The sequence below is a fragment of the Homo sapiens genome, chromosome 2 (genome assembly GCF_000001405.40).
Source record: "Homo sapiens chromosome 2, GRCh38.p14 Primary Assembly".
In the NCBI taxonomy this organism is placed as follows: Eukaryota; Metazoa; Chordata; class Mammalia; order Primates; family Hominidae; genus Homo; species Homo sapiens.
The window spans coordinates 4,652,651-4,670,814 of record NC_000002.12 but is presented as its reverse complement, the minus strand read 5'-3'; the positions used below and the strand labels follow the sequence as shown (position 1 = coordinate 4,670,814).

Sequence of the window (18,164 nt, the reverse complement as noted above, 5' to 3'; positions counted from 1 at the left end):
TATGGACCACATTATCTTTCTTTTTTCATATTTCTGATCATTTTTGATAGTATTTGAGATACTGCATTTAAAAGTAGGGTAGAATTGACAGTAAATAAGCATTGAAATAACTAGAACTGTTCTTATTTTCTGTCATCTTTCTTTTTCATTCAGTTGGCATTTACGTAAACCCCATGGTGTACAATTTACATTACGACACTCTAGGAGTTGAGTTTCCATTCAGAAATTAGAAGTCCTCAGGGCAAGTGAGTGGGAGAGTTCTAAATGTCTTAGGAGAGACTTCAAAAGACTTCAGAGGAGACTTGATGGCAATTGCTTTTGTGCATGAAAATTCATTTTGCAATACCAGTACCACTCTAGTTTTAAAATATCCTATTTCACATACCAGGCTGTCTCTAAGCAGGAAATACCTTCAGATAAAAATATGTGTTCAAGAATATGGCTCCAAAAATGCAAGAAAGACATGTCTAGTAATAATAATACCTCTAGTCAGAATTCTGGGTGGCAGACAGAGACTCTCAGAGGAAGGGTGATTGGTATCAACAATATTCTTGTTAAAAGTTACGCATGTCCCCAGAATACCCTCAGTGTGTATAAAAAGGTAAAATTTGATTTTATATAAAGAAATAATCAAAATATTTCAAATGAATATTTTTTTTCTGTAGTATTAGGAGTAAGCCTGTGGCTTGTTATGGCCAGGGACCAGAAAAAGAAGTCCAAAGTCTGACCAGACATTTGACTCTTTCAGTTTTCCAGGTATCAAGGGATCTGTAATTTAGAGAAGAGTATTGAAGTGGGAATAAAGTACCATTTTACTATGAGTCCACAAAAATACTTCTCTAGTATATTTGGACTGGGTCATGCAAAGGCTAGTCCTTATACTCCAAAATCATGTTAGATTTGCTGATACTGTTCAGCCTCAAGGGAAAAGAAAACCAAAGAGAAGAAAAATGAAAAGATGACACTTTGTACAAGTCAGTTCCATAATTTAACCAGCTGCTTCTAAAGTAATATTGCTTTCATTCATCTTATTTTTCTCTTTTATACATTTAGTCAATTTCACCTAGTATTACTATTCTAAACTTTAGAGTACATTGTCCTGTTAATCCATTTACTCAATAATTTTACAGTCAAAACCAAACCAAGTATTTATTTAGCATCTCAGGCATGAATTATGCTTTAATGATTTTTGTTTTTATCTACAAGTGTTATGAGAGAGCTCAAAATGTCTTAAAATCATAAGGTTCTATGAGTTTTGATGAGTGCAATGCTACTAACCACAGGAAATACTTCATACAAATGTGTGATGCGTATAGATATGAAACTGCTTTTTCCAAAATGTTCTTTACTGAGACTTTCTCATGGCGTTTGGCTAATCAAATAATAATTATCAAATAATTATTAACATATATACTAATATGAAATCAGGTTGACATGTAAAATGTATTTTTATGCATGTTTTAATTTCAAAGAGGGTTAGAGAAAACATTCTTTAATAAGAAGCTAAAGGTAGTAGTCCAGGATTTTCATTATCTTACACAAGGAAACTGTTTTACCAATGATTCAGTCAAACTTAACAAATGTTAAATGGGAAAAGCAATGATTCCATACTTGTTCTCAAAAGGTAAAGCAAAGATGAGTTTTACAAATAACCAAAAAAGCATTCTATTTGAATATGTTAAGTTTAAAAGATACACAGCCAATGATGATAATGTCTGAAGAATTTTATCGACTATCCGAGTTTAAGTAAATGCTTTGCATCTTGTTATCTCAAGAAAACAGAAGTGAACCTTTCTGAAATTAACTTGCCTTTACGTGAATTGAATGGTATGTTTATTCAAGAATGAAGAAGACTCGTCTGTTTTTTTTCCCCTCAGTATTAGTGGAGTCTCCTTGCTTGGCACCACATTCATGCCAATCAAAGACGTCTTTAGTTCAAGTTCAGGGTGAAACAGGAATTGCAGTTGCGTACTTTGTACTTACAAATTATCAGTGTGGTGCCAGCTCTTGAAAGAAACAGACTTAGTTTTTGGCATATTACAGACAGGACAATTGTTCAAAGAAAAATTTTAAGGCAAAACATTTAGGGTAACGTTATACGAACAAGAAATAAGACTTCCTGGAACTTTGGCTCTTTCTTTTTTTTTTCCTTCATTTTCTTAGCTCTGATTCTGCCTTGCAAGTTTTTGCTTATCGGGATTCTGTACGATCTCATTATTTCCTCTTGGCACTTTCTTTAGGCAAGGCAACAGCTGCACAATATTGATAAACTCTAAGGAGGCTAGAATGCACAACAACTGCTATGGCTTCAATCTAAATGGAACATACACAGAAACAGAGTTGGCATCCTTACTTTGTGAAACCTTCATCTCTCTCCTACATTGAAAATGCATTGTCTAAAAGCTGTGCACAGTAATTTTCTCACAGAATCTTTATTCCAACCTTATATTTTCACATTTAGTACAGTGTGTTACAATTGAACGTGAGAATAGAAGATCTCAAAAATGATGAATAATTAAATTGTCAAGATGGGTGTATAAAAATATTTCTCAATAATATCACATCTTTAAAGCGGATCCAGCTTCTTTCAATCCAAACCCAAGCCATGTATTGATGACTTATTAAGCAAGTCAGATCAGGAACGAGATACAATGACCAAGCGTAAAATTACAAGTGAGCTCACAAAAGAAAAGGAAATTATGTATAGATTCCAAAAGAAAAAGTAAAGCACTAAATAATAATAATAAAAGCAAACACCAAATAAAAAGGAAACTGGAAATATTTTCCATTAGCATTTAGAGAAAAAAATATTTAAAAAGGTAAATAGCTCTTTAAAAATGCCAATAGAAAAACAGACAAATGATACATATAGTAAATATCCAAAAATGTTACAGTCAATAAGTATAAAAAACACTTAATCCACCATTAATCAAAGCTATGCAAAACAAAATCCTATTCATAGTACTGAAGGTGCACAAAGGTAGGTGTCATCAAGCCCTGATGCAGAGACTTTTAAAATGATTTTCTTAAGCATTTTGGAAGGAAAGTTGCTGATATACATCAAGAGGTTATCATTTTAACTGTTCACGGCTTTTTATCCAATAATTTTACTTATAGGAATCCAGGCTAAGCAAATTTGTTCAGAGAAGTAAATGATCAGATAGAATGCTCATGGAGCATTGATATATAGTTGTAAAAGATTTCACACAACTTCAATGTCTGATACTAGTGGTGTCAGAAATTAATATGTGTATATGTACATATATATATAATATGTATATAGATAGTATACATTTGCAGGAGATGGAATGCAGAGCGGGAGTTATAACTTTAGCAGAAGCAAGCAATGAAAGAAAGAGGGAAAGCTCCCCGAGTTTCCTGGGGGATGAAAAAGTGTTCTGTTCCTCTTACCATGTGGGTGATTCTATCGAAAAAACGAGGCCCCAGAGGATTGAGGCCCTTGGGGGACATCTCAGCTCTGCACCTTTGGGTTGAGTAGGATCCAAAAAGATCCCCAGGGCTCATGATGATGCCTGGTGAATGAAAGAGCTCTCATGTCTCCACACAGATACTGAATCAAGTGATGATCAATTCCTCAAGGATGCTCAAAGATTCTACCCTTGGCAGGGTTATGGAAATGGGAAATGAAAAGCAAATATAACCTCCGAGAAAGGGTCACTCTCAAACATAAAGATGAATTTTGAAATTATTTTGTTTGTTTTACTGGAGTGTGCTTTGCTAAAACATCAGCAGAAAAGTCAGCCCAACCCCTAGGCACTCACTATGCTAGGTGCTAAAGAGACCAAAGTAGAATGACTACCACCTTGACTTTACAAATGACTTTACAAATGTAAGGTAACCATGTGGACAAATACCTATAATAAAATATGATCAGGATCAGGAGAGAGGAATTCATAGAAAATTTTGAGGGTCAGAAAAGGGACAACTGATCAAGACCCACAAGGTCAAGAAGACTTCCTGGAGGAAATTATACATAAGTTGATGATTTTCAGATACTTAGGAGGTAGCCAAAAGAGAAGCAAAACGGGAGAAAGGGGCTCAAAGCAAAGGAACCCCTATGGGGAAAGGTATGAATGCCCGTGGTGTGGGCTCCTGTGTGTAGATGGGAGGATTGGGTTTAGGGACCGTGTTTCGTCTGATACCACGTAAGGTGAGCAACAATACCAGAGGCTGCGAAGTTTCACTGAAAATATCTGGAAGCCGCTCCTGGACTTGCCCTGCAGGAGAGCCCAGTGCGCACCCTCAGTGCCTTGAACATCTGGGAGGTGGCCCAAGTCTAGGTCAGCAGAGCTACCAAACCAGCAGCACTTGGATGGCATTTCATCCCGTTGGGGGAAGAAAGAAGTGTTGGGAAGGGCCACGCATTTCAAGAAGAACCACATTTACGGGAGTAGCATTGAAGTCTCCACGGCTGGACACAGAGAATTTTTTTTTTATTTGTTCATCATATACTTAATAGCACTGTCAGGTTTCCTTGTTGATTTTTTTTAAATACAGGTTTCTGATTATTTTGGTCTAAATAATCCGGGCCTACAGCCTTCTCTGGTGGAATGGCTTTTGGTTTCTTATTTGTGTCTTCTTAAGTAAGAAAAACTAAAGAATGCCTCTATAAAGAAACCCTGTATGGTCTGCTGTGGTAGTTAAGAGTGTGGACTCTGGAGCCAGACTGCCTGGACTTGAATGCTGTTTTGCCATTAAAGAACTGTGTGGACTTGGGAACGTCATCCAGCCCTCCCTGCCACGGTTTCCTCGGCTACAAAGTGAGGATAATAAAAGCGCTTACTTTGAAGGTTGTAGTGGGGATCAATTGTGTCAATATATATAAATGTGAAGCACATGGAACAAACATTGGCACATAACGCATACCTAATAACTATCAGCCATATCGTTATTTTAATATTTTATGAGGTTTAAAGAGTGACGTTTTCCAAAGAAAAGGCTTATTTTCCTGCTCTTGTAAAACATATTGCTTCTCGGAATTCCTTCCTTATGGTGGGAGATTTATTCACACACACACACACACACACAATTTGTATATTGTAAAATTCCATGTGCTTTTCACAATGATCAATTTCACAAATGTCTACCTTGTATTTTACTTTAATAATTGTGCCTTCAGTTCTGTGTTTGTTCATTTTCTGTGTATTTTTGACTTCTCTCTCCCAGTAAAATGTAAGCCCAATAAAGGCACAGGCTTTATATGTTTTGCTTGTTGCATGTGGGTCTGGGCCTGGCATGTGCTAGGTACCCAGTAAGTTTCTGTTGAATTAACTAATAAGTTCAGAATCGAGTCATGTGTAATAAACAAAGGGATTCTTTTCTTGGACATTACAGCATTATCATTATTGGTCCAAGGAGATGCCATTTTCAAGGTTCTTAAGGGCAATGCCTATATATGTTTAAAAAAAAGTGTCAGAAAGTGAGAGAAAACTATAATTGGTAAAGTTATGCTTCATTAAAATTTATTATTTGTGCTTAATAGACACTTGGACTCTCATCAGATCTAAAGTGTACTGCCTGAGAAGGAGGAAAACATTTATCTTTGTTTTTGAATATCAAACCTTCCACAGCAAAACCTGCTCAACAGAATTACAACATAGGAGAAGATGCCAACCTAATTTCTGCCTGCTGGTGACACAATCTTAGAGCATTAACCTGAGACAGGTGGCTATGTTCAACCCAGCTCATTACGGTGTACTAGATACCAAGGGTCTAGTGGGACAATTAGGCACCAAATGTGTGATATTTTTGCCATACAAATCTTATTTACAAGCTTACCGAATAAATTTCTTCAAGGCTTTACGTGACTGAAGCTCCTATTTGGTAAACTAAGCAAGTGGGAGATAATTCGTAATGTGAAAATTTGCTGTTTTAAGCAGCTACATAAATCTTTTTCAGTTACTTTCCCAGCTTAAAAAACTCAAGCCACCTTTAAAAGAGTGAGAGTCAATTAGATTTGCACATAACTATGAGTTGCCTTCTTGTGAAAATGGGGCTATTGAATTAGGGAAAACATAAACAAGATGCCACTGTGGTCAAACTCCTTTGTAAACTTACATTTTCACAGGAAACCCAAGAGGGAGACTCTGTGTTGTTATATGAACCATAATCTAAAAATCTTAAGGGTGCTTGATTTTCTGATCAGTAGAAAAAGTGGAAAAAAACCTTACCACATAGCCTGGAGACCATCAACCCTAACGTCAGACTCAGCCCGAACACCCAGATCCCACACTCTTAGCTCTCCAAATTGGACAAACTACTTAAACTTCACTCACCTACTTATATCAAAAAGGGCTGATCATACCTCATAAGAATACTGGGAGTTTGGGGTGACATTTCACACATGGTAATTTCTCCCATTTAAAAATATTTAAAACTTGCGTTTAAAAGAGTAATGAAATAGCCTGGGTGAGATGGCTCATGCATGTAATCCCAGAACTTTGGTGGGCCAAGACAAATGGATCACCTGAGGTCAGGCGTTCAAGACCAGCCTGGCCAATGGGGTGAAACCCCGTCTCTACTGAAAAGACAAAAATTAGTCGAAAGTGGTAGCACGTGCCTGTAGTTCCAGCTACTCGGGAGGCTGAGGCAGGAGAATCGCTTGAACCTGGAAGGTGGAGGTTGCAGTGAGCCAAGATCTCCCCACTGCACTCCACCCTGAGCAACAGAGTAAGACTCTGTCTAAAAAAAAAAAGAAAAGAGTAATGAAATAAGCTTTGGCCTTTCTTTTTTACTAAAAATAGAAACACATATCTTCCTTGTGAAAATAGATGTACAACTCATTTTACCCTCACAGGAAATCACCCCTCTCGTGAGACCATTTGAGTTGAAGAGAACTTCTGAGGAATAGATTTGTGCTAATGGACATTTGTGGATATTAGCTCAGCTCATAAGGACATCAGTGCTGATCAAAACTGTAATGATAACCCCTTTATAAAAAAACAAAGTGAATTCCTTAGTTGTGTAAATTCAAATTTGAAAAGGTTAGTCTTCAATTAAGTCCCTTCATTGGCTTGGTTGCCGGGATATATTCAATTGCCTAGCTAAGCATTATGAGAGTCCCAGGAATGAATACCCTAAGTTCCACCTATTTAGAACCATCTGAAGTTCTTCAAATATGCCAGATGATTATGGAGTATTTTGTACCTGCTCCAGAAATGCTTTTGTTACCTCTTCTCACCAACCTGATGTTTATGGTTGCCTAGTCAACACCCATCTCTGCTTCTCCTACCCCAGAGATTGGTAACTGCAAAGACTTCCATCAAAGAACATGTATGACTTTATTAAAATGTTGGGTGGATAGATCTCTTTCCCAACCCCTAAAAGGAGGTATTATTTTTAATTTCTGGATTATATTTCTTGTTTGTATGTATGATATGCTCTCACTTAATGATTGTCAAATAAAGGGTTGAATGAATGGATGGATAAATAAGTGAATGGGTGAATAGATAGATGAACCAATGAAAATACATTTTTTTTGTAGCATGTATGAAATGTAAATCAGGTTGGGGAGTGAATGGGGAAAAAAACAACATGATCTTTTTAGATTCCATAGTAATAAACTTGTCCAAATTTATTTTCCTACTAAATCCTTCATGATGCATGATTTTAGGGCCAAATGTTGTGCAATTTTCATACTTAAAGGATAAACGTATCCCAAAGGAAAGAGAAGAAAATATATACTTTACTCATCCTGACTGCAAGGTATACACGTCACACAATAATATATTTTTATCAGACAACACTATAAGATTTTATTAAAATCTACCAGATAAAGCTTACTCTAACTATGATCAAATCAGTTAATGCAGGAAGAAAAATAAATCAGTGCACCTTTAAAATCACTGTAGCTTCTAGGAAAGAGATGATCAATACAGTGAAATAAGAACAGCCTTAATGTACGTCAAACCCACGTTCTCATTCCAACAGAAAACTCTCTAGCCATGTTTAAAACTATAACAGTGATCATGTATTTAGCACTCACCGTATACCAGACTGTGTTGTAAGTGATTGCTACAACATTCTCTGTAATCTTACAGACAGCCTTTTGATAACGGCATTGTTATACCTATGCTCAGAGGAAAAGCAACTCGTCTCACACAGCACACTTGCTGAGCAATGAGGGAAGTGTGGTTTGAAATAGGAACCCCCTGAAAGCAGTGACTATGCTTTTAGTCTCAAAGCTGGGCTACTCCATGACTCTAGCAAAGTGACCTGACACCCGGCGCCATTTTTTCCTTATCTCTAAGGGAACTAAGAATCAGAAAATCCCTCCTAGACAGTCATTGTTTTCTGTTGTTTCTCTCCCGGAATGAAGACTGACCAAATTCACTCTCATAAAAATACCGTAACTAAAGATAGATATGCATTTTTGTCATATATGAAAACACTTTCAGAAGTGGTTGCATGCTCAGACAGTATGATCATTTGTTTACACAAGGATTGACATGGCTTTCACCTTGCTGTCAGGAAGATAAAAATCTTTATCTCACCCCTGCAATTACAATTTGATTCAGCCTGTTTCCTATTTGCTCAGAACCATGGCCTGGACCACATAAGACGTGTTAATGTGACAATCTATTCAGGAGCAATGGCTCGTCAGAATGCTGTGGTTGGCATCAACCATGGGGATCACAGTTTTTGAAAACAGTGGCAATGATTTGGCTCTCATTACAAGTATATCTATCATTTTATTCAATTAAAATATAAAACTCATTAATCACCATGTCTGAATTATGGTAACAGCTGTGAAAATTATTTCTCTGCCTCTGTTTCTATTTGAGTCTTTCTAATTCATTCACAATACTGTGGAAAAAATAATATTTTAAATGAAATATGACCATTTCATGCCTCTTTAAAATTTGTGGAGACATCTTACTGACTTCAGATGAGTCTAAACTTCTCAGCATGACCTAAGGGTCCATCAAGACCTGCTTTTTAACCTGTTCTTTTACTGTTCTTACTGTACCCTAATGTCCAAGAATCTTGAAAGAGGTTCCTCGGCTTTGACCATGCTGTTCTGTCTCCCAAGAGTGCTTGCGCCGTACTCTCTGTGTGTGGCCAACTCCTACTCACCCTTCGGAACTCAGCTCATAGGTTGCCACTTCCAGAAAGGCTCTTGTGCTCTGCTCATATCAGTCCGAGTTTTGTAGCTATCTCAGACTTTGCTGTAATTCAATATTACAAACAAGAATTGTGAGCTGGACAGAGATCTCTGACAGGGATATAAATATGAATAAGATAAAGAGTCTGGGATTTAGGAAATAAGTCATCCAGTAGCGCAGAACATAATTTTAATATGCCAGTGAGGGACATGAGAGACTGAAGTAACACAGCTTGATATGCCTTTCCCAAAATACTATTAAATGGCTCTATAGGGACATCAAGAAAATGTCAAAGTACAATTTATGATTAAATAAAGAAAAAAAGTCAATTAATTCAAAGTATTGAGCAGAGCAGATGAAGTAAAATGCAATATGTGTGGAAGAAAGTTCAATGCGTTAATTTGTTCTTAACTTTGGTTATTAGAATTTTGTCAATGTGTTCTTAAATTTTATTATTAGAGTAATATGGCTTTTGGATATACCATAGGAATTAGAGAAAACTACTTTAAAATCTAAACTAAAAAAAAAATAGTTGAAAAAAGCTAAAGGGGTAAGCTTCATCTGGTATTCAAAAAAGTCAGAAAAGTGCAAAGTTAAATAAGACTAGCACAACCATAAGACTGGATTTATAGAGAATACACACCAAAAACAACCCCAAAATAGGCCTTGATATGTAAGAACTTAATATAATAAAAATAGACTGTAAGATCAAATGTTTCAAGTAATTTAATGTTGGTTAGCATTTTGGAAAATATATATTTACATATTTATTTCATAGTAGAGACAAAATACATTTTACAAAAATTTAAGTATTAGAGAAAAAAATTCTCATGTCTAGTGTCTGGTAGATTAAATGTGCAGAAAACTAAAACATTGGTTACAGGGAAAAGCACCATTTAAAAAAAATGGTGGAATGTGTTAAAACGAGAAAAACTGTTGGAAACCACAGAGCAAGAAGGCTAACTCCACAACCAGAATTTCTCCTGAGCACTCATACTGATCTCTAGTGGCCTAGGGCTCGCTTTTTTTTTTCCTTCTCTTCCATTCATAGAGAAATATGCATAGAAACAACAGTTGGGGACATGTTTTGCAAAATATTGTACCATAATACAGTTTCCAGAAAACTGTATCCCCAAGTGTGACATAATCAGGAAGTAAATGCCAATCAAGACTTTGTGGTACAGGTCAAAATGAGAGACAATTGGGAAATAAAGTTTTCCATTCACAGTAAAATATGATTGCCCACAATTTGTGAAAAAAATTCAATGGGGACAAAATAGTCTTTTCAAAAAGCTGTGAGGAGTCAATTATATATATATGCAAAAGTAAAGTTAAAAATGAAATTGGACCCTTTAAAATGGAATGTTCTTCAGCCTTAAAAGGAAGGAAAGTCTGAAGCATGCTTCAACATGGATGAATCTTGAAGACATGGTACTAATGGAAATAAGCCAGACTCAAAAGGATACACACTATACTATTCCACTTACATGAGGTGCATACAATAGTAAAACATATAAAAAGATAAAGTAGAATGATGGTTACCAGGGGCTGTGTGGGGAAGGAAAGGAGGAGTTGTTTTTGAACCGGTATGGAGTTTCAGTTTTGCAAATGAAAAGGTTCTGGAGCTCTGTTTTCCAACAATGTGAATATACTTAACACTATTGAACTGTACAGCTAAAAGTGACTAACATAATAAATTTTATGTTTTGTGTTTTCTACCATAATAAAAAATGCATTAGGAATAACATTAGATGCTTGCCTCACATCATTTACAAAAATTGACTTAAATTATAGAACTAAATGGAAGAGCTTACAGTATAAAATTTCCAGAAGGAAATATAGGATTTTTTTTTATGTTTAGGCAAAGAGTTCCCAGGCATGAAGTAAAAGTACCAACCATACAAGCAAAACATTGATGAATTTGACATTATTAAAAGTGAAAATGTTTACATTTCAAAATATACTCCTATGAAAATAAAAGTCAAGCCAAAGACTCAAAGCAAATACTTAAAAATCATAAACCTGATAAAGGGCTTTGCTCCAGAAAATATGAAGAACCTTTCAACTCAATAATAAGAAAAACAGCACTTTTTTTAATGAGCCAAAGATTTAAAAGAAACTTCACCAAAAACAAAAAAACAAAGAAACAAAAAAAAAACTAATAAAAATAAATAAACCAAAAAAAAAAACCATACAAACACTTAATAAGCACCTAATGAGGACCCTGGCATCATGAGCTATTAGGAAAATGCAAATGAAAACCAGAATGTGATACCACAATTTTCCCACAGAGTGGCCACAATAAAAAAGACAATAGGGGTTGGCAAGACAAAATTGGGACTCTCATATATTGACTGTGGGGATGGAATTGGCATCGCCACTTGAAACACAGGCAATTTCTTTAAAAGTTAAACAGGCATTTACAATTAGACACAGCAATTCCCGTGTATTATTGCCACCCTGCCAAAAAAAGGAAAGACTCCACCACCACCACCACCCATACCTTGGTTCAGATGTGGAGGCTGATGATGCTACACACACAACAGAGGGTGGGAAAAGATGTGTTACTTACAAGCGAGGTTTCCAGGGGAGAGCAGGAGATGTCTCCCAAGCTTGTCTAAAAATGGTTTGAAAGAATGGGAAAGACCCTGGCTTGGGGTTTTACGGTGGTTCAAGCCTGAGGCCACTGTGTTCATTGCCTGAGGCCATGGGCTTCCCATGTATGTGAAGGGGCTTGTGTTGCTTGAATTTTCTGCTGGCATCAAAGAAAGGAACACCGAAGTTTTCTTATCAACTTGCCCAGTTGTGGGACACAAAGGGGAGAGGGGGGTGAGACTTAGAAGCTGTCAGTCATCAAACATCAAAAATGTAGTGAGAGCTACCAAACATGGAGGCACTGTTCATCTTTGTCTGACTCCAAGGTGTCAGGAAGACAATATGGCCCCTGAAAGACACTTTGTTTAGAGATGGACAAAAAATCTAGGAAATGCCTCTGGATTTGAGCAATACAGCCATTTTAGGATGGAAAGCAACTATGTTAGAAAATTTGGAGAGGACATCTCTATTTTTCTTCAATGTGTTTTGGATCAGAGATCTGCATTTTAGAAAACACAAGGTTTTTTGTTTGTTTTTGTTGTTGTTGTTTTGTTTTGTTTTTTTAACTGGGGAAAGAACACCCTGTTCAAGAAATGGTTCTGGGAAAATTGGATAGGCACATGTAGAAGAATGAAACTGGATTCCTTTCACCACATATGAAAATTAACCCAAGATGGATTAAGCACTTACATCTAAGGCCTGAAACCATACAAATTCTAGAAGAAAACCTAGAAAAAAACCCTCCTGGACATTGGCCTAGGCAAAGAACTTATGACTAAGACCCCAAAAGCAAATGCAACAAAAACAAAAATAAATAAATGAGACCTAATTAAACCAAAAGCTTCTGCACAGCAAAAGAAAAAAATCAGCAGACAGCCCAGGAGTGGAAGACCTCACGCTATGTGAAGCCACAGGGGCTGCACGTGGAAACAGCAGGAGCAGCAGGGCCATGGGAGGCCGCTTTACAGTAATAAGAGGGCGTGGTGCCCTGGTTCCCATGGGATGTCATGACTGGATTTTTTTGAATAATTCTGCAGGCTGGCAGAGAGCTGAAGCCCTCTATACAGGGGCAAGCAGGGCGCAAACCTGACCCTATTTGTGAGAAGAGTGGCTTGAGTAGGGGGCGGAACCACTGAAGCAAACTGAGGCGAGGGACTTGCGGTCAGGCCAGGGGAGGCCCTCCTGGTTTCCCCAGATGGCCCTGGTTTTAGCTTTTACACCACAATCAGACTAGTTATGAAATCCTCATGAAAAATCAGCTGCGTTTCCACACATGGACTACAGCATTTAGAAAATACCACTGTTAAAATACGAAAGCATGCACAAGCAGAAGGATGCCACCAGTAGATTCAAACCTTTTGGAAAAAAAATGAGCCTTTATTCAAAGTAATTAAGTAAGACTCAAATCAATGTAGAAATGTATTAGATTCATGGATTGAAGGACTCCTTGTAAAAACTTCAACTCTTCCCAAACCTTGTTTCAAGAATTCAGTTTTTCATGGAATTTGACAAGTACATTCTCAAATTATATAGAATTTCAAAAATTGCCAGTATATTGTTGAGAAAGGAGCAGATGGAGAGAATCATTCTTCCTGACATTATTAGTTAATATAAATCTACAATATTTAGGATGGTATAGGCTGGTACTGACTGATATAAATAGATCAGAACAGAAAGAAACAGAATAAATGGCCCTAAAATAATAAAAACCTGTATTTATGAAAAAACTAGTTTTATTGTACATAAGCCAGTACAAAACCGTCTTCAATAAATGGTGCTAGAGCAACTAATTCATATTTATTTTGTAAAGTAAAATATATACTTATTCTATGTACCTATCTCCCAAAAAAATTAAACCCACATGGATTACAGATTTGAATGCAAAGTCAAAAATTTAAAAAATGGTAGGAAAAAGTGGCAGAATATTTAGTTTCCCAAATAAAGGAGTTCATAAACAAGTCTGTGATGCCCAAACTAAAAGGAAAACAAATATTGTTAACTTGGTTTACATAAAATTAATAAATTATATTAAACAAAAGGCACCATGAAGACATTAACCACTGGGAGAAGATATTTGCAAAACATATAACCCAAAAGAGTTCATAATATATAAACATGTTACATAAAAAACTGATAAAACCAATTAAAAAGGACAAACGTGCACACGCGTGCACACACACACACACATTAGGAAAATGAGCAAAAAACATAAGCCATCATTGTACAGAAGGGAAAATAGAAATGTCCATAAAAACATGAAAATAAACGGGACCTTAGTCATCATAAACATGAAAATTAAAGCCACAGTGATTTAGCATTTCACATATGGTAATATAAAATGGTAAAATAATTTTGGACAGTAATTTAGCATTTCTTAAAAATGATGACATGCACACATGCTTTGACCAAGTACCTCTTCTCCCAGGCATGTGTCCTGGAACCTCCTGTTTAGGAGCACTAGATTAACATGAAGAGATTTGCGTCTGTTATGAGTTATTGCCACCCAGCTCTGAGACCGCCATTCTTGACCCTGCTTTGTGATATGGAGATGGGCCCTGTGAACAGTTCTCTAGCTGCTGTCTCAAAGTGAGGCTCTGTCTCTAGACAGAGCTAGGTGGGGCACTGTAAAACAGTCGCAGGGGAGAGGTGCTCCCTTTTTTTGGTGCTTTTGTGCTGCTTGTAGCATGGCAGCCAGCAAGTTGGTGTGCAAGAGGCTCAGTAGCATTAATCTCTGTGACTCTGATGGGCCAGCTGCATCCTGAGCCCCTGAAAACTTCTTGACTTCTTGGTGCACTGGACCAATGGACCGGCTCTACCCACGTCTTCCAGCAAGTCCCTTCTCCCAGCAGGTACTGCTCCTGCGCAGTAAAGCCTTCTCCAAAGAGGCGGGGGTCTCAGCCTGGTTCTTCCTTGTTCCTCGTCCTCTGAGGTAGTTGCTGCTTTCTGTGTTTGCTACTTTTGTACTCCTTAGCACGCTCTTTCATTCCTTATAGTAGTTAAGAGTAGGTCTTACTAGTTAACAATTCTTCACATGAAATGTTCACACTACTGGCAATGTTTCTCTCCTGGTTGATACAGTGTTTATAGCAACATGTTTTATAATAGAAACATATTGAAAAGAATAAAGTATTCCTCAACATTAGAATATATAATTAAACTGCGCTATACATATGTAAAATGACGTATATAGCAATGAAAATGTAAAAACCACAACCATATACATAAACATAAGTGAAACTAAAATGTATCATATTTGGAAAACAAAGGCATGAAAAACTGAAGAGGATTCATATACATAAATGTTTTAAATGAGCAAAATAAACCAACATATTGTCTAGAGAATTATGCATATATTTTACAACCGAAGCTAATATTAAGAGAATCCTAAGCAGAAAATTGATTATAATGGTTTAGCTGTTGGAGCAGAATGATGGATGTGATTGGTCGATACTACTAATATGATTCCGTTTCCTCAGCTGTGTAGAGCACATAGGACGCTTGTTTTAATATTGTGCTTTTGAAATGTGTGTGCGCGCAATATTTCATGTTTTTCTTTTAAATGTGTGTGAGCAGGGTGAGATTTTCTAAGCCTAAAATCAAGAGATGATATCATGTTATAGTAGCAGCAAAGGAGACATTTAGATTTCTAAATGAACACTCGAATGTATTGCTGCAACTGTGACTGATAAATTAATTGGTAAATAGATCAAAATTATAAATAACATACAATGAATGTAAAGATAAGATCAATAAAATACAATACAATGACAAAATGATATTCATAGATGACTAATAAGCAAGTTCATAGTATTTTGTAATAAGCATAAAAGATGTACCAATGCTAGGATTACATCAGTACTAACTGATGCAAAGTTACAGGTTTTCTTCTTTAGTTTTAATTGAGTGAGATGGTAGTGATGACGGCCCGCAAGCATTTGGGCTATAGCTGTTTCTACTGGATATGTATTACTGCATCTTCCTCTGACTCTCATTTGTTAATAATTAGCAGGAATTTTTAAAACCTCCTGATTTTAGCTTCAGTAAGTCTATTTGTTAAAGTCATGATTCTTGTGCAAGTACTTAGACATAAGAAGCTTACCAGCCCAAACAGGAAACCCCCACAAGCTGTGACCCATATGTCTCGATAAAGTAACAATGGTATATCCATATAAACGAATAGTGCAATTGCCTAAAATGTTGTCGATTAAAAAATACTTAATGGTGTGGAAAATAACTATAATACAATGTTAATACAGCAATGTATATAGCACTTTATGACACACATATTTGCTCATATATAATTAAAAATAAGATATTTGTCTAAATGTTACTTGTCTTGATTTTAGGTGAAAAGATTTGATGTGACATTTTTCTCTCTTTCTCGCTTGTTTGTGTCATTATCTCTAATGGTTTTTGTATTTTCTAAATCTCCTTACTTTTAGCTTTCACCATTTAGACAATTGTCGGGGGACAGGGAAGAAGGAAAGTATAAATAATGCCAGCATCAACATAATTATTTTTGTCAAAGCTTCCTTATATTAAACTACTGTAAAACTTGTATTTTGTTCATCATGAGTACATACAAATGTCCGGTTTCGTATAGAAAGATGAACAAGTGAGGGATCGGACAGACACACACATCTTTCACCTGGGCATGCAGAATGTTTGCCTGAATGGGAATTACTAAATTTAAAATAATTGCACTGAAGAATCAAGTAATTTTCCTTTTCCCATCTTACTTTCTTTTAAAACATTTAGACTCTCAATGATGGGTTCAATTTACACATACAGCCAAATAAAGACATTCTGGAGTGTAGGTTCTCTGGGCAGAAGTCAGAACCTGTTTCTGTGTTGCTCAGATTTCTGCAGTGTCTTCATGCCTGACCAGTCCTTCCTGTTTTTTAAGCATGCATGTTCAGCTTTGCAGGAAGTAGAGCAGCAGGGGCTCTGCAGTGATTGCTACATGGGTCTTTTTTCCAACTGAACTGTTTCACAGCTCCTTTACCTTAAAAATGAATGCTAATATGAGCCATGCTTCACAGGAGCCATGGAATTGGAGATCGGTGTTAGCTCCTGGTTTTCTGGCAGCCCAGATGATTTTCATCGCTGCAAGGAACCTCAAGGGTAGCACCTGTGCAGTGGTTCCAAATCTGACTAATGATCAGAGACCCTGAGGAGACAGGACCCCCGGCTAGAGAACTGGATGGGTGATTCCCATGCTCAGCCAGCTGTGAGAACCATTTGGGGAAGTTTCCGCCTCTTCTGTTGGGACAAACTTGGGAGTATCCAGAAATAGTGGCAGGGCTGGGGCAAGGTGGATTGCCAGTAGGTTGTGATTTTAAGTTTCTGGTGCAGAGGTGGCGTAGACACTGGTGGTGTGGCTGCAGCCAGGTAGAGCCCTGGCTTTTAGCTTTCAGCCACAGCAATGAGGCCATTGGGGTGGGAGTGGAGGCTGAGGAGAGAGCATTTGGGCTTCCAAGGCTGAACCTAGAGGCAACAAATCTGTACACCTAATGCCTTTTAACAGCCTTTGATAAATGCGTTTTCTGCTGGAGGTAGACAGAGAGGTTTTGTCACAGCGGGGAATAATGACTAATAAAGACACTGGTGAAATCCTTTGCATTTATAGTTATGGAGCCCAAGGAGTATTACTGTTGTGGGATTGTTTTTCCTCATTCCCAAAGAGCAAATTTTAAAAAATCCATCCAGAGAACAGGAATACAGAAACTTTTTTTTTCTCTCTCTTCCCTTGACCCCACCCCCAACACACATACACACACACACATACACACACACACACACACACCAGCATTACATTCAGGGTCCATTTAGACACTGGAGACAAACTCTGCTAAACCATATCACATAGAGAAATAATGTTTGTGCAGAGGAGTCAGCTTCTATTAGTGTGGTATTCTTTCTCAGGTCAAGTGGCTGGCCGTTTCCTATCCTATTTCAGTCAACATAAGGGCTCTTTAAATCTGTTTCAAGGCCAGCAAAGGGGATGAGTGAGAAAGACAGAGGCAGGACTCACGGGAGCTCTCTCTTCAGGATTTTAAGCTTCAGCTGTGTGAGGTTCATTCACGAGGGGCACAGCAGCCCTGAACTTCTGCACCCTGGCCCAGGTACGAATTACCCAAAGAGACTGCTCCTCAGACCAACCATAAAGCTAAAGATACATTCAGAAGATGAATGAAATTGGCCATAAAATTTCCAGACTCTTCAGTTGCAAAAAATCTGAGAGATGAGCAGCTCAGAATTTAGACTCTGGTTTCTACCTAACTGGCTGTGGGCGAACCACTTATCCCTATATTTTCTCTCTTGTTTCTTCTACATTTTTTTTCTTTTAGTTAGGAGACAGGTAAGATGTCAAGCTCCAACATTCCACAGTATTTTATATTTAGAATTATATATTCTAGCAGAAGATTTATTTTGTAAATTTCT

The 18,164-nt window shown here is 37.1% G+C and overlaps 1 long non-coding RNA gene across 1 annotated transcript in view; it reads left to right on the top strand.

The window, feature by feature from the left end:
* Positions 1–14,592: 14,592 nt before the first annotated feature.
* LINC01249 (long intergenic non-protein coding RNA 1249) overlaps positions 14,593–18,164 on the top strand; it is a 28,005-nt gene continuing 24,433 nt past the window's right edge. The window contains exon 1 of the long non-coding RNA NR_034134.1: positions 14,593–14,649. This is a non-coding gene — a long non-coding RNA (long intergenic non-protein coding RNA 1249). The remainder of the gene's footprint in view (positions 14,650–18,164) is intronic.